Raw genomic sequence first — 22,438 nt, 5'->3', positions numbered from 1 at the left:
TCACTGCAACTATTTCCACTATCTTTCTTAGTACTACTCATAATTATTACAGTCATGAGAGCCTCAACCTATTATTGAGTCCTTCAGTATATGCCAGGCATTGGGCCAAGGGTTATACATGTATTATTTTAATTAATCCTTGAAGTAATTCAAAGTCAGGATTGTCACCATGTAGAAGAAGAATGGACCCTTAGAGATTAAATGACTTGTCCAAGGCCTCAGCCAACAAGGGGAAGAGTCAGGATTTTGACTCAGGTAGGCTACCCCCAGGGGCGGGGGGACCCCATGAGAGCCTTATCAGGCTGTGCTGAAGAAGGCTGAGTCCTGGGATCCAGAGCTTTGTCTGGAAAATGTTCCAGTGTTGGGCAGTCACAAACAGTGCTAAAGTATCTCAACTTTGTAAACTGTTTTAAAAATCCTAAATTTTTTTAAAAAGCTTTTATTTTTATTATTTTTTTATTTTATTATTATTATTATTATTATTTTGAGTTGGAGTCTTGCTCTTTTGCCCAGGCTGCAGTGCAATGGTGCGATCTCGGCTCACTGCAACCTCCGCCTCCCGGGTTTAAGTGATTCTCCTGCCTCAGCTTCCCAAGTAGCTGGGATGCCCACCACCACGACCGGCTAATTTTTGTATTTTTAGTAGAGACGGGGTTTCGCCATGTTGGACAGGCTGGTCTCGAACTCCTGACCTCGTGATCTGCCCACCTCAGTGTCCCAAAGTGCTGGGATTACAGGCATGGGCCACCGCGCCTGGCCAAAAAGCTTTTATTTTAAAGTGTTTCATATATTGGTTAGTCATCCCTCTGAATCGGTTTTAGAGGAACCCTTTAAAGTAGGCAAACCATGTTTCAGATGGATTATTTCGTATTTGTTTTCTGTTTTATTATCCCATTTTATTCTAATCTTAGAAGCTAATGTCAGAAGTAGTAGCTGGTAGAACTTGAAGGCAAGGAGGCTTGCCTTCATTTGAAACCAAGTCCTCCTTGCACTTCCCTCCTGCAGGTTCAAGGACAAATGGCATTCAGGAGCCCCAGGGATGCCTGGAGCAGAGGATCTTTCTGCTCAAAGCTACCTGTCAGGGACTTCCTACCATGGCACCTAAAAGCATTTTAATAGTCATTAATTGGCTATCATGTATAGGAAGGATTTTCTTTACCTGTTAGGAGTGTTAAGAATGTGTCCCACTTAGAGAATAGCTCTGCTTCTTAAATTTAACTTGATAGCCTTAACAGCAAGTGTGTGTGTATTAATATGATTGCACTTTTGTAGAGGCAATTTCTATAAAGACGTATATAATTTTAGAACAAGTACTATTGACAGTCCCCCTCAGCACAAAAACATAATTTTACCCAAAAGGCCTCTGTTGCCTGAAGGCACAAACTGCCAACATTTCTCTTTGGCTTGCCTCAGATTTCATCTGTGAAGTGGCAAGCTTTTAATGAAACTAGACAGTAAGTTCCATTATTAATGATATTCAATCTTTTCCTCCAATTCAAGAAACTTAAAAATAGAAATCTGAGAATTAATTGGATTTGGTTGATGATAATTGTCATTTCTTCATTGTAAATGTAAGCTCACCTCCCAAGGGTTTTGAAAAAGTGATTGGCTGTTGCCCACTGGGAACATATGGTATCAGTGAATACTAATATTCATTGTGCAACAGAATGCTCTTTGCTGTGATTAGAAGGCACCAAACTTGCAGGACTAGAATCTCTGCTGTGTTCTGAGCAAACTACATGATGCAAAAATGTATCCGGCTACATGGAAATAGAGGCGGATGACTCTCCAAGTTCTCTATGTTCCCAGAGCTTGTCTGGGTTTAAGTGGTGGTGGCAGTAAGGGGGAAAGACCAGAGAGTTTAGAGAGGGTGAGATCTCAGATGTGACTCGGAAATTATATCATAGCACATGGAAATAGAAATATGTAGGGGCATTGAGAAAGGCATGCTCAAATTAGTCCTTGAACTCTGGAAACAGAATGTGTAAGGTCAGCATAGCAATTGGGTATAGCCTTGAAACCAGACACCGGGGCTTAAGTCCTATCTGTACTATGTCCCCTGTGACACTGAGCAGTTTCCTCCCCTGGCCTGGCTTCCCTTTTTGTAAAATCAGGAATTAGTATGTGGATTAGGTTAGATGGTATAAGGACAATGTTGGCCTGTAGGAGATGCTCAGAAGATATTAGTACCTCCTCCACCCGCATTCGTTTCCACGTAGTCCTTTCCTTTTTTTTTTTTTTAACTACTGGTAAGCAAATTCCCATTTCTTCTTCCCTTCTTTCTTTATTATTATTATTATTATTATTACATTTTAAGTTCTAGGGTACATGTGCACAATGTGCAGGTTTGTTACATATGTATACATGTGCCATGTCGGTGTGCTGCACCCATTAACTCATCATTTACATTAGGTATATCTCCTAATACTATCCCTCCCCCCTACCCCACCCCACAACAGGCCCCTGTGTGTGAGGTCCCCCTTCCTGTGTCCAAGGGTTCATGTCCTTTGTAGGGACATGGATGAAGCTGGAAACGATCATTCTCAGCAAACTATCACAAGGACAGAAAACCAAACACCGCATGTTCTCACTCATAGGTGGGAATTGAACAATGAGTCCTTTCCTTCTTATCCAAACGAGGAAGTCAGTATTCAGAGAAACTAAATGGCTTGCCTGAGTGGCAGAACTGAGACTACAGCTCGGTGTTAGTCCATTTGAGCTGGTATAACAAAATATCACAGACTGGGTGCTTATAAACAACAGAAATTTCTCACAGTATTGGAGGCTGACAGTCTGTGATCAGGGTGCTGGCATGGGCCTTCTCCCAGGTTGTAAACTGCAGACTTCCTATTGTGTCCTACATGGCTGAAAGAGGGTGAAGGAGCTCTCTAGGGTCTCTTTTATGAGGGCAGTAACCCCATTTGTGAGGGCACCACCCTCACCTCACCTTCGTAATACCATTGCATTGGAGGTTAGGATTTCAACATATCAATTTGGAGTGAACATAAACATTGCCTGTTGCAAGCCTAGACTACTTTAGTCCTACTCTCCAAAGTTACTGTAATGCTTTACAAACGTATGGGGTTGGGCTGGCATGAAACCCTAGTGAGGACTGAGGCTGTTTGAGCTTTGTTGTCTTTACAGTTGAGTTCAGTTGTGTTTCTTTGCAAACAAATAAAGCCTGTGTATCTGTCTCAGCAAAGCTGGCCTGTCCCTGCGGTTCTCTGCTGTTAGTTAAGGGGCCCATATAAAAGCTCTTTAATAACTATGCACATAGATATTTTAAAATGTCAAAGTGCATCCTTTTTAAAGAGAGGGGTGCGTCTCTGAGGTTTGTCAGTCAGACTTTTGTAAACTTAGCCATTTCCTCATTGATTTACCATCTAGTTTCAGTTATATTGAGTTTAAATTTTTAATTTTTTTTAGTGTTTTTAGGGATGGGGGTCTCTCTGTGTTGCCTAGGCTGATCTCAAACTCCTGGCCTCAAGTGGTCCTCCCACCTTGGCCTCCCAAGTGTCTGGTATTACAGGTGTGAGCCACCACGCCCAGCTTTTGTTGGGCTTTTTGATCACCAGTTGTCATGGGCACCTATCGCCTTTTTGTGTCTTTCCCCAGGCTGTCAGATAGCTAATAAAAAAATACATACAAAAGTGCACCTAGGAGTTTTAAGGGAAAAAGTAGTCTTTTGTGATACCATTATGCTATGATATATCTGTTTAATAACATACTGTATAAATTAAGGAACTAGAATATGACTGTAATAACACGTATTACTGTTAATATATGCTATTGTTCCCGGCTTCACATACTGATCTTTGATTACAGTTTATCCCTAAGAGTGATCAACATCCCCTAACCACTCATGAGAAATCTTGATGTACACGAGCCTTTCAGTGGCCTTCCCAGTGTCTGAACCCAGTGGACGGCTGCTTCTCTTTCAGTGGAAGGTTGACTTTCCTGTTTTCCTTCAGTAAGGAGTAGAGGGTACACAAACTTTAATGTATGTAAATTAAGAAAGCAGATTGCCACAGAGCCAGAGATGATCAATTTTGAAGTTTCCATGAGTCATACAGGCATTCAGTAATATGTTTCAGGAAGTTGTTTGGAGAAATGTGGGTTGGTAATTACCAAATAAATTTCTACCTCTAACTGGCTGCCTTTTTGAGGCTTCTTTGCAAGTATGCCTATTTTCTAAATTTGGAAAAAATCTGTGTATTTGAGCCCTGAAAAAGACAGTCTCTTAGCAACACGTGACAACAAAGAGGAACAAATTAAGAAGTGTGTTGTGATTTGTGTATGTTTGCACTGTTTTGAAAACCACCCTAAAGGTAAGTATTTTTAAAGCTGTTTATAACATTTGGTAAATTTAACCTAAAAAGTATCAAAACCAGGAGTGGTGTCTGTTCTCTTTTCAGTGCGTTTTTTCCTTTGTCGCCCCACACTGAATATTTTTGGCCACTTGGAGGACATACGTGGGCATTCATAATTAAGAATTAATTAAAAGTGTCTGCTTGGAGGACTTTCTGCTCCGTACTTAATTAACTTAAAAACTTATTGCCTTGATAAACAGATGGATCATTTTAAAAGAAAAAACAGAGTTCACCCTCACTTTAGACATCTACAATAATTCATTTAGTTAACCTTGGAAGTATTTTGCATCTATTATGCATCCATTGACAATGAAATGCAGAAGTGTTTATTGCCACCATTTAAGGATGATTATGTGCTATAGTTTAACTCATTTATGAGGTGTGGGTGGCAGCAGAAGGAGAGGACCTATAGTGACTGTTCCCCAAGCTGGGCTGGGCTGGACTATACAGTTGGTACCCTGGCTTCTTTAGGCTAAGGGTCAGTTTCTTTGTCCAGTCCTTCCTGCTGGTGATAGGCTGTTTCTTTCTGCATCTCTGCACTATTCCCCACTTGTGATGGACTGGCTTTTCCCCACTCCATTACACCTTCTGTTCCCCACATCACTTCAGTTTGGCAGTAGCCCATCATGGCTTCTCATGGTGCTCCCCGAGAATTCACTGCTCTCTTGGTTTAGTTCCCATAGTTAGTTGGCAAGACCCTCCTGTATTTCTTGGTTTAGAGTCTTGAAAGAGATCTTCTGCTTGACCCAGCTGAAATCTTTCAGCCAAGCCACAAAGTCATAGGTAGATTGCCATGCCAAGGCTGGGTGTCCTTCATTGGGATCCCACACCATTCCAGCTATTGGGGCTGTCACACACAAGGTGTACCCATACATGCTTCATCAGAGGCTGAAGTGTGGACAAGGTTCTTACAGGGTATGGACACCTGCTTGATAGGTCATTGTAGACATTGTATTGTCTTAATCAAAGGCTCCAATAACTGTCTATTTCAGACTGTTCACCAAAATCATTAAGTGGTGTGTCTTAAAGATTTGGTGTTGAATTTTCCTTTATTCTTCCACGAAAATAAAATTTAAATGAGTCCCACAGATACTGCTTGCCTGAGGCTGTTATTAGTGTATGTGGCGTGAATTGCAAAGGGCTGTGGTTTTATTTTATTTGATTTTTATAATGGGGGAGGGCACAAGGGAGTAGGGAAAAAACACTGGCAATTTTTTTTTATTATACTTTAAGTTCTAGGGTACATGTGCACAATGTGCAGGTTTGTCACATATGTATACATGTGCCATGTTTGTGTGCTGCACCCATTAACTCGTCATTTACATTAGGTATTTTTCCTAATGTTATCCCTCCCCCCTCCCCCCACCCCGCAACAGGCCCCGGTGTGTGATGTTCCCCACCCTGTGTCCAAGTGTTCTCATTGTTCAATTCCCACCTGCGAGTGAGAATATGTGATACTTGGTTTTCTGTCCTTGTGATAGTTTGCTCAAAATGATGGTTTCCAGCTTCATCCATGTCCCTACAAAGGACATGAACTCATCCTTTTTTATGACTGCATAGTATTCCATAGTGTATGTGTGCCACATTTTCTTAATCCAGTCTATCATTGATGGACATTTGGGTTGGTTCCAAGTCTTTGCTATTGTGAATAGTGCCGCAATAAACATATGTGAGCATGTGTCTTTATAGCAGCATGATTTATAAGCCTTTGGGTATATACCCGGTAATGGGATGGCTGGGTCAAATGGTATTTCTAGTTCTAGATCCTTGAGGAATCGCCACACTGTCTTCCACAATGGTTGAACTAGTTTACAGTCCCACCAACAGTGTAAAAGCGTTCCTATTTCTCCACATCCTTTCCAGCACCTGTTGTTTCCTGACTTTTTAACGATCTCCATTCTAACTGGTGTGAGATGGTACCTCACTGTGGTTTTGATTTGCATTTCTCTGATGGCCAGTGATGATGAGCATTTTTTCATATGTCTGTTGGCTGCATAAATGTCTTCTTTTGAGAAGTGTCTGTTCATGTCCTTCGCCCACTTTTTGATGGGGTTGTTTGATTTTTTCTTGTAAATTTGTTTAAGTTCTTTGTAGGTTCTGGATATTAGCCCTTTGTCAGATGGGTAGATTGCAAAAATTTTCTCCCATTCTGTAGGTTGCCTGTTCACTCTGATGGTAGTTTCTTTTGCTGTGCAGAAGCTCTTTAGTTTACTTAGATCCCATTTGTCTATTTTGGCTTTTCTTGCCATTGCTTTTGGTGTTGTAGTCATGAAGTCCTTGCCCATAACACTGGCAATTTTTTTAATGCTTGGAAGCAAACATCGTTGCAATAATTAGCCGGTATTCACATCATCTGAATAAGCTAGTTTGTGAAACACAAAGGGAATAGACATTTTGTTACCAAATGTAGCTGATAATAGAAATGCATTTCCCTAGGCTACTGATTCTCTAATGTGTATCAGAATCACCTATAGGGCTTATTAAACTATTATTTGCTTGGTAGTTCTGGGTGGGTCTCTTAGTCTATTTATTTTGTTATAAAGGAATACCTGAGGCTGGGTAATTTATAAAGAAAGGAGGTTTAGTTGGCTCATGGTTCTGCAGGCTGTACAAGAAGCATGGCTCCAGCACCTGCTCCACTTCTGATGAGGGCCTCAGGCTGCTTCCACTCATGGTGGAAGGCAAAGGGGAGCCTGCATATGCACAGATCAGATGGCGTGAGAGGAAGAGAGTAAGTGAGTGCAAGTGCAGAGGAGGCCCCCAGGCTCTTTTCAACAACCAGTTATTGCAGGAATGAAGAGAAGTCACTCACTCCCTTGAGAATTCCACCAATCTATTTGTGAGGGATCTGCTCCCATGGCCCAAACACCTCCCACCATGCCCCACATTCAACATTGGGGATCAGATTTCAATATGAGACTTGGTGGGGTCAAACAAACAAACCCTATGCAAACCGTAGCAGTAGGGCAGTAGAATTTGCTTTCTAATGAGTCCCAGGTGCTGCTGCTGCTGTTGGTCTAAGCACTACACATTGAGAACCACTACCCTGTGCCCCTGGCCTTCAAACATAGGCACTTATAGGTTTGGGCAGTGATTGTCATTGAACTTGTCCATTTAGGGTCATCTTTCCAAAATGAACCAATACCACCATTGAGTTGCATGTAAAAATCACATTAAAGGGGATATCTCCTTAATTCTTTCTGAGACTATTGGCTTGCCCTCTCTTCTATGTTCAGTAAATATTCAGTATCTCTTTTATACCAAGCCCAGTGCTAAGTCCCGCTGGTGATAAAGAGGACACATAGTGGAACTGCTCTGGGGATGCCCCGCTAAATAGACGGGGGTGTTGCTGAAACACAAAAAAAGAATGGAGTTATGAAGTTCCTCCTATCTTCATTTTCCTTCTTCAGATCCTGTGCTGACCTTCCTTTCTGAAGATGGAGATGAATAACTAGAATAAACAACTGATGCTGGTAACTTTAACAGTAACTATATAAAAACAATTATGCAGATATACTTAAGTTTTACAAAGTTGCCATGCAGCCCCCAACAATAAAAATTGTATTTTAATATATTGCAATCGTATTATTTGGTAGGGCTTAATACCTTTCAAACCATTTTTGTGTGTTTTATTGAATCTGAACTCCTGGGCTCAATTGAGCCTTCCTCTTTGGCCTCCCAACATGTGGAGATTAAAGGCGTGAGCCACGGCGCCTAGCAAATTTGAACTTATGAATAAGCCTTTCAAATAGGATAGGCATTACATCTTTTGGAAAGACTGAAACACAGACAAGGTGGTATGCCTACCATTTGTCCAGTGCTATGCTAAGGACTGCATACTTTTATGTCTAATATTTTTAAATCTGGGAGGTAGGTTGTATTGTCCCTGTTTTATAGATGAGGACACGGAACAGCTAAGAGTATAAGTATCTTACCAAAGCTAATTTGAGGCAGAACCTGGATGTTTCCTGGGATTTGTTTTGGGGCTTTTGTCCTTTTCACTGCAGCCATCTACTCTCTGATACAACCCTACTTTCAATATACATACTAGGAGAGTTCCTTGTTAACACGAGGAGCAACGTTCTCATCTAAATACCTTTTTGGGTCTTGGCTACTGTATATTCTTGCCCTTGCCTTTTATCCCAACTCTTCCTTTGCTGTCACCCCTATAAAAAGCCCTTCTCCCTTTTGGTTCCATGCCTGGGAGCTCCTATCCTGGGGCCTCTGCCACGGAAGTTATTCCCGTCATCTATTGCTGAGTTTAAAACACTCCCAACTTAGTGACTTAAACACAACCATTTATTTGATCATGAGCCTGCAGTTTTGATGGGGTTCAATGAGATGGCTTGTCTCTGCTCTACATTGTATTGTCAGGAGTCGCTTAGGTGGCTGCATTTAGCTGAGAGCTTGGCTGTGGCTGGACCATCCAAGGGGGCTTTATTCGCACGTCTAGCTAGTGTGAAGCTGTAATGGCTGATGTCTGGCTGAGCCTCTCTCTCCACCTGGTCTCTTCTCATTCAATAGTGTGGCCCAGAGATTGGGAACATTTTCTGAAAAAGACCAGTGTTAAAGGCTGAATTGTGTCCCCCAAAATTCATATGTTGAAGTCCTAACCCCTAGTACCTCAGAATGTGACTATATTTGGAGATAGGGCCTTTAAAGAGGTAATTCAGATTAAATGAACGCGGGGTGTGGTGGTTCACACCTGTAATCCTAGCACTTTGGGAGGCTGAGGCAGGTGGATCACTTGAGGCCAGAAGCTCAAGACCAACCTGGGCAACATGGTAAACCTTGTCTTTACCTGAAAAAGAAAAACCACACCCCCTCCCCCCCGCACACACACATATTAGCCAGGCATGGTGGCATGCATCTGTAGTCCCAGCTACCTGGGAGGCTGAAGTGGCAGGATTGCTTGAGCCCAGGAAATAGAGGCTGCAGTGAGCCATGATCATGTCATTGCACTTCAGCTAGGGCAACAGAGTGAAACCCTGTCTCAGAAAAAAAAAGGTTAAATGAGGTCAAGTGGGCCCTAATTCATTATGACTCAATATGACTGATATCCTTATAAGAAAAGGAGATTAGTACACAGACATGCAGACAGGGAAGACCACCTTCAAGGAGAGAGGCCTCAGAAGAAATAAACTCTGCTGACATCTTGATGTTGGACTTTTAGCCTCCAGAACTGTGAAGGTACAAATTTATGTTGTTGAAGCCACTGAGTCTGTGGTATTTTGTTAAGGCAACCCTAGCAAATAAATACAGCCAGTTAGTAAATACTTTAGGCCTCATAGCTTTGGGGCCCATACGATCTCTGTCACATATTTTCTTATTTTAAAACTCTTTTAAAATATGAAAGCTATCCTTAGCTCAGAGGCAGTATAAAAACAGACCAGATTTGACCCACTGGACCATAGTTCACCAACCCCTTCTCTAGACTGTAGCCCAAGCTTCTTAATACTTGAGCTTAAAGTCTCAGAATCTCACTTCTGCCATGTTCTGTTGCTGAAAGCAAGTCACAAGTGAGGGACCAGGACTTTGTTTCTTGATGGGAGGAATGGCATGTCTATACAGAGATGGGAGGAATTTCTGATGTCCATTTTTGGAAATGATTTTTTTACATAAATTAAAGGAGTATCCACTTATGCCTTACTTTTGAAATGTACATTTGCCCCCACATTTTAATTTCTCTGAAATCAGGATGTATTTACTGTTGATAGCATCTTATCACCATTGACTAGATGGCAATGATAAGTCATTGTCATTATGTGAGCTTGTGCAAATTTGGACATAACAATTGTGTTGATGTATACTGTTGGTAAACACATATTGAGTTTAGTTGCATATAAAATATCTTCAAATATTTTAAATTGTGACTCAAAATTTAAAAACGGGTTTATATGTGTAGAAAGTTATAGAAGTAGAGCAACAGGATGTAAATTTGGGATTAGTGAAGCAAATTTTTGTACAAGAATGACCTCAGTTGCTATTTTTGCAAAGAAGCAACCAGGAACTGTGGAGGGCCTGAGGCAGAAGACAAGTAGCTGAAGCTGTGTTACAGAGTTATGGCAAAAGTATTGCGTCCTAGGTGACAAATTATGCAACTGAAAGCAGGAAAAATTGGTAGATCTCTTCAAAGAGATGAAAGGAATTTCAAAGCAGTAAGAGGCTGGTATGTCCAATTCATAGGTTACACAGGACTGTTGTTGAAGCGTAGAACATCAATTTATCAAACTTCCTGCTGACTTTGAACTGTAGCTACTTATTTTCTAGTGATTTAACTGGGAAAAAAAGTTGAATTTAGACAGATAGGAAATGCTGATAAAAACTCAGTGTGCTTTAAAAGGCTGTAAATTTTTTTTGAAATGTTAAAGGTACTACAGAGATCAAAGGCATGAGCAGAGGCTGTGAAAAGTTTCTGTGATACTTTGCACAATTGGTGGTGGCTGAAAGTTGTAGCCATAAGTTAATCATAAACTGCAAAACAATTCCTAAGAGTTCTTACCCAAAGATGTTATCGTTTATCTACACGCCTGCACATACACATGCACACACACACTTCAGCCAAACTGAAGAAGAAATGACTCAGTAGTCTGGAACAGATGTCCCAGAGCCCCCATATAACTCACCCAGTATATAGGTTCTTGATCGCTTTCACAGATGTGTATCTGAACAGTAAAGAATATATTCACTGAAGAGTATAGTGATCCACTTGTAATTCTTTCGGCAAGACTCGACAACTGCTAACCTTGTGGCACTTTTAGTCACCAAAGATATGAGTCTTAGTTATTCTAAAGGCCCTCTGTCGTGATACTAGGTAAGAACAAAAAAGCACCAGCCTCAAAACTGGCATATTGAGTATAGGACAGCTAGAAAAATGTCCCAGAGACAATAGTGGAGCATATGATGGAAGAAATGGACATTAGCATCTGAGTTAAAATGATTGAGAAGAGGCAAACTGGGCAGGTGAAGATGTGTTAAGAAAATCTTGGCCAACTTATTTTAATTTTCATGTAGGTACATGGTTGACACATGGAAAAATCTAATTATCTAAAAGCTTCTTCAATAATTGTAAATGAAAAGAAAGCATTGTATCAGTTTACTTGGCTTTCTTAGCAGTCTGTAAACTAATGGTTCATCTTATTGGTTGATCTTAGACTGGATAAATGTACCAGGCACTGAGCCTTTTATGATTGCTGCTTTTATGGAGTTTCCCATATAGGTATGATATGAGTATTTCCATTCGTATATGGAATGCATTTTCCCAGAGAGAGTGTGTAACAAGATTATGAAGAACTTACATCACTTTTAAGGAAAAATATGCTCTAGAATTCAAACAGCCAAGTCTTTTTTTTTTTTTTTTTTTTTGAGAGTCTTGCTCTGTTGCCCAGACTGGAGTGCAATGGCGTGATCTTGGCTCACTGCAACCTCCACCTCCTGGGATCAAGCGATTCTCCTGTCTCAGCATCCCAAGTAGCTGGGATTACAGGCGCCCACCACCACGCCCGGCTAATTTTGATATTTTGAGTAGAGATGGGATTTCAACATGTTAGTCAGGCTGGTCCTGAACTCCTGCCTCAGGTGAGCCGCCTGCCTTGGCCTCCCAAAGTGCTGGGGTTACAGGCATGAGTCACCACGCCTGGCCTTCAAACAGTCAAGTCTTAAAGGAGTTAAGTGTTAGACATGTTTTCTTGCTGTTTCATTCATATATATATATGTGTGTGTGTGTGTGTGTGTGTGTGTGTGTGTGTGTGTATACACACACACGAAATGATATTATATATATTCCCAATCAATAAGTGTTGACTCCATTAATCACTTATTGAAAGATTTCAAAATAACGTGATGTTTTTCAGTTGCTAATAGCTGTTTACCTTTCGGGGCTGCTAAAACTTACCCTCAATTCTTTCATAACAATGTCTACAGATGGTAAATGTTCAGGAACCCTTTTATTTTTCAAATAGACTTTATTTTTTAGAACAGATTTAGGTTCACAACAAAATTGAGCAGAAAGCACAGAGATTTCCCATATTCACTCAACCCACACACAAAATTGGCACGATCATTGTTCACTGCAGTCTTGACCTTCCAGGCTCAAGCGTTCCTCCCACTTCGGCCTCCTGAGTAGTTGAGACTACAGGTGTGCACAACCACACCTGGCTTATTTTTTTGTTTGTAAGATGGGGTTGCACCAATGTTGCCCAGGCTGGTCTCAAATACCTGGGATCAAGCGATCCTTCTACTTCAGCCTCCTAAAGTGCTGGGATTACAGGCATGAGCCACCGGCATGTCCAACCTGGAACACTTTTTAATATGTTTATTTGCCTTCTGTTTATCTTTGGTGAGATGCCTGATAAAGTCTTTGGCCCATTTTCTAATCAGGCTGTTTTTTTATTGTTGAGTTTTAAGAGTTCTTAGTATGTTTTCAATAATAATCCTTTACCAGATATGTCTTTGGCAAATATTTTCTGCCAGTCTGTGGTTTGTCTCTCCATTTTCTTGACAGTGTCTATTGCAGAGCAGAAATCTTAATTTTAATAAAGTCTAGCTTATCAATTATTTCTTTCAGAGATCGTACCTTTGACATTGTATTTTAAAACTCATTGCCAAACTCAAGGCCACGTAGATTTTCTACTACGTTATTTTCTAGAAGTTTTATAGTTTTGTGTTTTAAATTTAGGTTTGCGATTCATTTCAAATTAATTTTTGTGAAATGTGTAAAATCTGTGTCTAGAGTCATTTTTTTGCATGTGGATTTCTAGTTGTTCCAGCACGGTTTGTTGAAAAGATTATCTGTGCTCCATTGTATTGCTCTTGCTCCTTTGTCAAAGATCAGTTGACTGTATTTATGTGGGTCTATTTCTGGGCTCTGTCTTCTGTTCCGTTGGTCTACTGGTATTTGTTCATTTGCCAACACTAGACGTTCTTGATAAATGTAACTTTACATTATATTTTTATATATATATTTTTTAAATTTTTTTAGAGACAGGATCTTGCTATGTTACCCCAGATGGACTTGAACTCCTGGGCTCAAGTAATCTCTCGCCTCAGCCTTGTGAGTAGTTAGGACTATAGCAAGTACACACCACAGTGCCCAGCTATAAGTCTTGAAGTCAGGTAGTGTCAGCCCTCTTTGTTCTTCTTCTTCCTTCAGTATTGTATTGATTATTCTGGGTCTTTTGCCTTCCCATTTAAACTTTAGGATCAGTTTGTCAGTATCCACAAAATAATGTGCTGAAATTTTGATTGGAATTGCATTGAGTATGTAGATCAAGTTGGGAATATCTGATATCATGACAATATTGGGTCTTCCAAGAACCTCTTGATTTTGATTTTGAAATTCTGACTGTGGAATGGAAGTGGGTTAAGACTGCAGGTGGACAGGCAGCTAACTCTTGGGCCTGGTTTCTAATCAGTTTGGGCCACAGTTTCTAAAGAGTCATTGCTAGGGATTCTAGGTAGTTTAGTTTGACAACCATGGGCATAGTTTACCACAAACCCTCCTTTATGTCATACGCAACTTTTTGAAGTTCCACATTAGTGTTAAAGAATGCGAGCTCTGGAATCTCTCTGGAGGTTCCTAATTCTGGCTTCGTCACCTTGCATCACTCACAAGACTTTAGCCAAGTATCCTCTCAATTGTAAAATGGACTTAATTGTGGGGATCAAATGGGAAAATCTGGGTAAATGCCTGTAAAGTTGCTTGTATATCCTTGTTTTACCTTATATTCCATTCTCTCCTCTCCCCGACCCTTATCCAGACTTCCTCCCTAACTTGCCCTTGAAACTGTTTTTTATAATGTCACCAGTGACTTCCGTGTTACAAAATACAGGGGTTCCTTGCAAGATTATTTATTTAGCAGTATTATAGCTCCATGGCCCACTTCCTCCTTGAAACACCCTTTTCTTATGTTGGCATCTCTGACGATAGTTTCTTGGTTTTCTTCTGTCTTCCTGGGATGCTGTGTCTGAAGTTTCCTTTGCTGGCTCTTCCTTTGTCTGAACAACCAGGGCTTGTTTCTCGGTTCCAGTCTTTTTTATTCCAGTGTCTCTAAATACCATTCATAGGTAGATGGTGACCAAATGTGTGTCCCCAGCCCTGAGTTCCAGACCCTTGACTGAAACAACTACTGGACGACTCCCCTTGGCTTCTTCCTCATGGGCAGAGCTCTGAATTTTCAATGCCTTTGTTCCCTTTCCTGTAATTCCTGCCTCTCCCTCCATTTTATAAATTTCAGCAAATGGTGCCACCATCCACCTAGTTGATGAAGTGGATACTCAGGCTCTGTTCTTTGTCTCATCATCATCCCCCTCATCAGCGTGTTCTTTTGTCTCCACCTCTGAAACATATGCCATAATCATCCTCTTCTCTCCATCTTCACTACAGCCTCTTCTGGACTCCTAACTGCTTTTCCTGCATCCATTCATACCACATTCAGCTCCCAGAATGATCTTGAAAAATGTCAGATCATGTCGCTCATGCTTGCATGCCCTTCTGTGGCTTCTAGGTCCTTGACCACCTTGAGGAGCATTGCCACCCAGCTCCAGTCACCCTGGCTTCATTTCTGTTCTCTAACCATGCAAACTTGCCTCCACTTCAGACCTTTGCAGTTGCTCTCCCCTCAGCCTGGAACACTGCCATTGCCTTTGCCAGTGGGTACCTCCTTGTCTTACAGGTCTGAGTTCAGATGTGCTCTTTGTGGCCCTCCATGACCATCACCTATATTTAGTACAAGTCTACCCTTCCCCCAATGCAGTCGTATCTTCCTCCTTGTCTTCCCTGTGCATACCACTATTTGAAATCACCTCGCTCATTATTTACTTATTTATTGTCTGGTTTCCCACAAATAAAATAAGCACCATGAGAGCAGGGTCCTTGGCTGTCTGATTCAGTATAATATTCTTAGAATCTAAAACAGCCTAGCACTTAGTATAGTGCTTAATAAATATGTCAAGTGAATAAACAAATGCAATTAAGGCTCCTAGCATCATGCCTGGTACATTAATAACTGCTCAATAAGCATTGGCAATTGTCACTTGAACATGAAAACGTGTTTTACATGTCCGTCATTAGGCTGGCTAGATTCCTAAGGAGCAGCAAGGTCCACATCTTAGATATCTTTGTATTCCAAAGTCTAGTACTGTAACTGACACATGGTAGATGTTTAAGAAAGATTTGTTTCATACATGAACTTTTGGAAGCTGCACTTTTGTTAATTGGACACACTCTATGCAACTCTGTGACCACTTCTCTTACCCTGTACTACCAGTGTATTTTCTGCCTTCATCTCACTTGGCCTGTCTGTGGAAATGTCTACTGTCCCTCTGTCTCAGCCGGTGAGAAACATGGCACCTCCCTCTTTCTCCACATCCAGTCTACTGGCCGGAGTCCTTGTATACAGCTTCTTAATGGAGTCCCCATTCATTCTTCGGCCAGTTCTCTGTCTCACTTCCTGTCCCCCTGTACAGCAGTGCTTCCTCATTTCTGGCTTAGATAGCCACTTTTAGGTAGGCAGGCTGGTCTTCCCATCGCTTTCCCCTCCAGCCTACCTGCCACCGGGTTTTGCTTTCTAAATGCCAACATGATTCCATCCTTTACTGAGTTAAAACCGCAGTGGCAAACCCTTTGTTTCAGCAGTTCTGGCCCTTACCAGGCTTTCTCATGCCTTTCTCTCTGCATAAATTGAGTTTTTAAAGATTTGAAAAGTCCCAAATATTCTGTATGTGACAACTATTTAAAGACATTCCTGTGATGAAATAATTGTGTTGAGCTGCTTACCCTGATTTGTCACTTCTGATAATGAAATACTTTGGAGTGAAATTTTAGAAGTTTTGTGAATTAGTTAAATTTCTTCTGATTGATTGACATTTCTGGTAACATCTTGCAGCCAGCAAGGTTAGAAAATAAGGTCTTATGCATTCATAGATATTCTCTGAGGAGGTGTAGACATTCCTAACAGAGTGACTAGATGCTTTCAGTGCTACTGTTCAGTTTCTGCTGTTTATTGTTAAAAAAAAAATACAGCACTTTTCCAACCATAGAATTTTAATCGGATAATCCAGTTATATGAGATTGTACACATCCAAAATGCACAAAATAACTTGGATTAACACCTTATTCTTTGAGAGCATAGTACATAGTTTTGTAAATTACCTATAACAGAGGGTATCTCCAATTAACAGAGATTTGGTACTCAGAAGTTATATAGAGACTGTGTGTGCACATGTGTCTGATGTGATGCTTGCTTACTAAAGATAGTCATGGCGTAGAGTGTCAGAAACCATATGAGATATAAAGGCCCAAAGACAATAGTGATGAAACGTTTAAAAAGCAACTGGGCTAACCAAAGGCAGTGCACTGGTGAGAAACTTTATACTTGAAAAAATATTGACTGTAGATGTATAGTAGCCTTTCACATAGCCTTTTTGTAAGGGTTATCTTGAATTCTGGACTATTCACCTTTATTTAAGGTAAAGCAGTAGCACTGTGGTGTTCTGTAAGGCTTATCTCACTAATTTGATTTGATGTGTGACTTTAGAGAAGTTTTATAGCCCTGATGTTACTATAAGCAGGTGAAATGATACCTGATATTTCATGAACTGGCAAATTCAACATAGCAACATAAGCCAGAAGAGAAGATGGCACAGATATGCAAATTATTGTGTTAATTCACAGCACATGAGTATTCCATGTTTTAAAATTTTTCAGTTTGAGATACAGAAAAATGACAAAAATCATTCAGTATTTTCCTGTTTCCACAGTTGTTAACGTCTTACATAAACATAGTATAATGATCAAAACTAAGAAATTGACATGAGTACCTATGGTAGGCAGAATTATAAGTTGACCCCCAAGATTCCAGCCCTCTACTGTGTGTGCCCTGTGTAATCCCCTTGAGTGTGGGCAGGACTTGTGAATATGATGGACTAGCACACTGTGATTGTGGTACATTATATGGTAGAAGGGATTTTGCTGTGTAACTAAGGTTTCTCATCAGTAGACTCTGAGTATTCAAAAGGGAGTTTATCCCAGGTGGGCCTGACCTAATCAGATGAGCCCTTATGAGAGACAAGAAGCAGCAGCCAACCCTCTTTTGCTGTCCTAGCAACAGGGAAGAGCCCTGTTGTGAACTGCCTAAGGAAGGAGCCAGGTGTCCTCTAGGAGCTGAGACCAATAGCCAACAAGAAAACAGGGCCCTCTGATATGGTTTGGCTGTGTCCCCACCCAAATCTCAACTTGAATCGTATCTCCTAGAATTCCCATGTGTTGTGGGAGGGACCCAGGGGGAGATCATTGAACCATGGGGGCTGGTCTTGCCTGTGCTATTCTCGTGATAGTGAATAAGTCTCATGAGATCTGATGGGTTTATCAGGGGTTTCTACTTTTGCTTCTTCCCTATTTTCTTTTGTCGCCACCATGTAAGAAGTGCCTTTCACCTCCCGCCATGATTCTGAGGCCTCCCCAGCCATGTGGAACTGTAAGTCCAATTAAACCTCTTTTTCTTCCCAGACTCGGGTGTGTCTTTATCAGCAGCATGAAAATAGACTAATACACCCTCAATACTGCAGCTGCAAGGAACTGAGTTCTGCCAGCAGCCAGGATGAACTTGAAAGTGAACCTCAATCTCCAAATGAGAACCTTGATGTGCCGACACCTTAATTTTAGTTTTGTGAGATTCAACTCTACCATGCCCAAATTTCTGACCTACAGAAACAAGATAATAAACATGTGTTGTAAGTTTGTGTAAATTGTTACCTAGTAGTAGAAAACCAATACACAATACCGTATAACTACTATTAACTAAAGTATGAGCTTTGTTCAGAACCAGCTTTTCCACTGTCTTGTCTTCTGTTCCAGGATCCACCCATTCCTAATAGGTCTCTTATTTTTAATAAATCAAGGTGAAATTACACCTGATATTTCTTTTTTTTCTTTTCTCTCTTTCTTTCTTTCTTTTTTTTTTTTTTTTTGATATGGAGTTTCATTCTTGTTGCCCAGGCTGGAGTGCAGTGGCATGATCTCAGCTCACCACAGCCTCTGCCTCTGGGGTTCAAGTGATTCTCCTACCTCAGCTTCCCAAATAGCTGGGATTACAGGCACCTGCCACTATGCCTGACTATTTTTTTTTTTTTTCATTTTGGTGCTTTTGTCAAGACAGGATTTCACCATGTCGGCCAGGCTGGTCTCGAACTCTTGACCTCAGGTGATCTGTCTGCCTCAGCCTCTCAAGTGCTGGGATTACAGGTTTGAGTCACCGTGCCCAGTCTATACTTCATATTTCGTGATAAGCAATCAACTAGTACAAATTCAGTATCTGTAAGAGATTTCATCTCACTGATTTGCCAGGGACGGGGGTCACCAGGCAGTGTAATCTGAACATTTGAGTTCAAGTTTGGTCACATTAATAGTGTGTGGTGTGATTCCCTCTGGGACTTTTGTCTGTTTGTTCTCATCTCTTTTGTCTGTTTGTTCTCATCTCTGTCGAAGGGGCCTCTCCAGGTGACTTGTCACGTGCATGCGAAGCTGTAACAGAATACTGAGAATCTAAGAAATAGACCTCAGACTCTGTTGTCTTTTTTCTTCTTCTAATGACACAGAATCCAGCTGTCTGAGAAGGATGCAATTATGTGAGGAAATGCCTCCTGCTGGCACTAATTCCTGAGCTTTGAATTGTTGGTTTGGGTCCTGGCAAGGTATTTTTGAAAACTCAAACTGCCATATAATCAGGATAGTTGACTCTATCCTCAGTGCATTCATTTTACAAGTGACAAAGTGGAGACTGTTAATGGTGCACAGGTTTTCCACGATCAGAATCTAGGCTTTCTTGCTTCTAGTATGTTCTTACTACAAGCAGGTTAGTCTTTTCAAACATGGTTTGCCGTATTGCTCATGTTAGAGATCGATGGTCAGGTTTGGGTGCTATGTTGATGTAATTTATCCAAGGGTCATGAATATTTATATTGTGCCCTGCCAATACTTCATGCCCTGCTTTGAGGTTCTGGGAGGCTTTCTAACTTGGGACTCAGAATCTACTTCATGAGAAGCTTCAAAAGCATCTAGTACTGCACCCTAACTCAGATTAAAGGCCACTGAGTCCATTGATCCACTCATGGAGCCCGGGGGTAATGGGTGGGGGCAGTACTGGTTCAGCTGGGAGTCCCGAGTTCCTGCTTCATAAGACCCCACTACTCCATGGCTGGTTACGGTGGCCTGTCAGCATCCTGTGTTCAGAGGAAGCAGATTAGCAACTTCTCCCCATCCCTTGTATGTCTGAGAGGTGAGCTGCAGGTAGGCAGAAGTGAGCAGGATGGAGGAGGGTGGTATGAGAAGCTCCTTTCTTCTGTAATACCAGATTCAGGGCTAGGTGCTGGGCTAGCAAAAACAGTTTCTGACCTCAAGAAGTATACATTTTAGTGGAGGTTACTCACAGAAATAAATAAATATACTACAGTGATTCTTTCTGAGGAGTGAAACATTTCACAGGAGAGCTATTTAGGCTGAGTTTCAGAGGTTGAATAGGCCTTTGCTAAACAGATGGGGCTGGGGAGTGGCGGTGGGGGTGGAGGGTGGCCATACCAAGCAGAAGCAGCTGCACGTGCAAAGGCACTGAGGCATGAAACCGCACTGGGGGTATATGTGAGACAGTTTGGAAAATTGCTCAGTATTTCTAAGGAATTTTTAAACAGAAGTGACATCAGACTTGCATTTCTGAAATAAAGCAATATTTCTATTATAAAAATACCAGAAAGCACAGAAAACAACAAAGAAGAAATACTTGACCCGGGTTTGGGTTTGCCCTTCTGTTGACTCCCTTAGGGACCCTGCAGGACCTAGCTTACCATTTTGGAACGTGGAGCAAGGAGAATGGTGCTTTGTCCTTGCAACGAAAGGGATACAAGTGGGACAGCCCCACTCTGCCCCTGTTTCCAAGGACTCTTGGGCTGCGTCTGATCCAAGTCTCTAGCTCTGTCCATTCCTAGAAGCTGCTAGAGGTGCATCTGGGACTGGAGGGGCTTTAAATATGTGGTTTTTACAATTACATGTTATCTGGCTTTGGGGTTCTCGAAAGGTCAGTGCCCTGGGGCAAAGCCTTGGCTGCCTGCCCCAGCTCTAGCACCTGTTATACCTCTCACCACACAGGATAGACTTTGCGTAGCTACTCAATCTGGTATGTAAAGCCTCTGTAGGGTGGCAAAACAGGGACTGTCCAGTCTACAATCTCCAGACTCTAGCAGGGCACCTGGCACATAGTGTATAGATGCTTAGCAATCATTTATTGAATGAGTTGAAGAGTTTCAATACACAGAGTTCATCACCATAGCTTAATATATTCCCTCATCTTTTGCATATGTATAGATTTACTTTCATTTTATTTATTAGTATTGTTGGACAGTTTCCAGTATTTGACTTACTTTGTTTTTGAGAAATGTCTGAATTATTTGGCATGTTTCTTGGATTTTTTTAGGACAAAACCCTGATAGTCTAGAATTGTGCTGTTAAATATGTAGCTGGTAGCTACTAGATTGGACAGGACAGATCTAGAACATGTCCATCATAGAAGCTTCTGTTGAACAAGGCTGATCTGGAGAGTGGATTGGTGAAGAGGGAAACCAGAGGCAGGGAGACCAGTGTAGGTGGGTTTTGCATTATGCCAAGCAAGCGATGGCAGCTGGAACTAAGGCATTGACCCTGTTTCTGGAGAGGAGGGATTGAATCAGAGAACTATTGAAGAGATGGAATCAACTTGATTTGAGCTGAGGTGAGGAGGGAAGAGGAAACATTGATGTCAGGGTTTGTCAGGGTTCAACCAGAGAAACAGAACAAGTAGCTACAAAGTGAATATGTGGGTATCTAGATATGTATGAATTAAAGGGATGCATTGCAAGGAATTGGCTTATGCAATTGAGAACTGGCTAGGCAATTTGGAATCCCATAGGCTGAATCTTGTTGCCCACAGGTAGGAAGCAATTCTTTTTCCTCCCTTTCTCCTGCAACATTCTTTCTCTTTCTTTTTCTTCCCCCCTCCCCCTTCCTTCCTGTCTTCTTTCCCTTTTCTCTTTTTATCTCTCTCTCCTCTCTGCCTTCCACTGATTATCAGCTTATTTAGCATAATCTCCTATAAAGTCACCTGATTAGGGACTTTAATTACATCTGCAAAATCCCTTCACAGCAGCACCTAGATTCATGTTGGATTGCATATTTGAGTGAGTGTATGTGGGTGCTACAGACGGCCACATCTCCCTTCCATCTACCAACTTTCAGGAGAAGGTCTTCCTTGTAGCCCACCCTAATCAGAAACATACTAGAAAGGGAATTATGGGGATATTGTTTAGCCTGGCCAAAATGACACCACAAAGCCATCACAGATGACTCCCAGTTTTCTTAACTAGGGCAACTTTGTGCCTTCTTATGTTAGATCACTGAGATTGGAGTTACAAGGGGACACCATTCGAGGGTGGAGGGGAGTAACTGATGAGTTCTGTGGCTTGCTGAAGTTCTGAAGTGCCTGTGGACCATCATGTATCCTGCTCACGAACGTGGGTCCAAGAGCTCATTAGGAGTCTGGGCTGCAGACACAGAGGATGGTTCCCCAACATATGCATGGTAGTTAGAACCAGGTGACTCCACTCGGTGGATCATCTGGGGTAGCAGGGCGAGCACCTGGAGAAGGGAATGTTCACACATAAGGGGTTGAGGAAGGAAGAGAGAAAAACAGGCTTAGCTACTTAGAAATGTTTTGAGGTGGAGCTGAGCACGGGACAAGTGAAAGAATTGTGGTGGCATAAGTCTGCAGAATGACACAATTTTCTCTTCCCAGCCTGGGGAGGAGCAGATGAGGCCAGCTTTACAGCTGATTCCCAGTCAGAGGAAGACACAAGGAGAATGGAATCGGGAGTGCTGATGGAGGGTAATCACGACGTGCACTGGGGGAAATCAGATTGTCTCCCCTCAAGTGTATAAGTGTGCATGCCTTTATGGTGCAGCTTCCAGGCTGGGGGTTGCAAACTCAAGTGCCTGCTGGGTTCTGGCAGGCAGGGGAAGCCCCCCGATCTAGTCTTGGGGCTCAGCA

General features: G+C 41.7%; 1 protein-coding gene and 1 long non-coding RNA gene across 5 annotated transcripts in view; one reads left to right on the top strand and one right to left on the bottom strand.

The window, feature by feature from the left end:
• PPM1H (protein phosphatase, Mg2+/Mn2+ dependent 1H) overlaps positions 1-22,438 on the top strand; it is a 291,157-nt gene that overhangs the window by 32,311 nt on the left and 236,408 nt on the right. The gene's annotated exons all lie outside the window — the stretch shown is intronic.
• LOC105369795 (uncharacterized) overlaps positions 1,814-22,438 on the bottom strand; it is a 60,653-nt gene continuing 40,028 nt past the window's right edge. The window contains exon 3 of one of the 2 annotated variants that reach the window (XR_945016.3): positions 1,814-6,732. This is a non-coding gene — a long non-coding RNA (uncharacterized LOC105369795). Of the gene's footprint in view, positions 6,733-8,810; positions 8,921-22,438 lie in introns of those variants that run through there. The other variant, XR_945015.3, reaches the window with a different exon arrangement.

This window comes from Homo sapiens, chromosome 12 (genome assembly GCF_000001405.40).
Source record: "Homo sapiens chromosome 12, GRCh38.p14 Primary Assembly".
Classification (NCBI taxonomy): domain Eukaryota; kingdom Metazoa; phylum Chordata; class Mammalia; order Primates; family Hominidae; genus Homo; species Homo sapiens.
The sequence above is the reverse complement of the archived record's forward strand: the minus strand, read 5'-3'. Positions and strand labels throughout refer to the sequence as shown.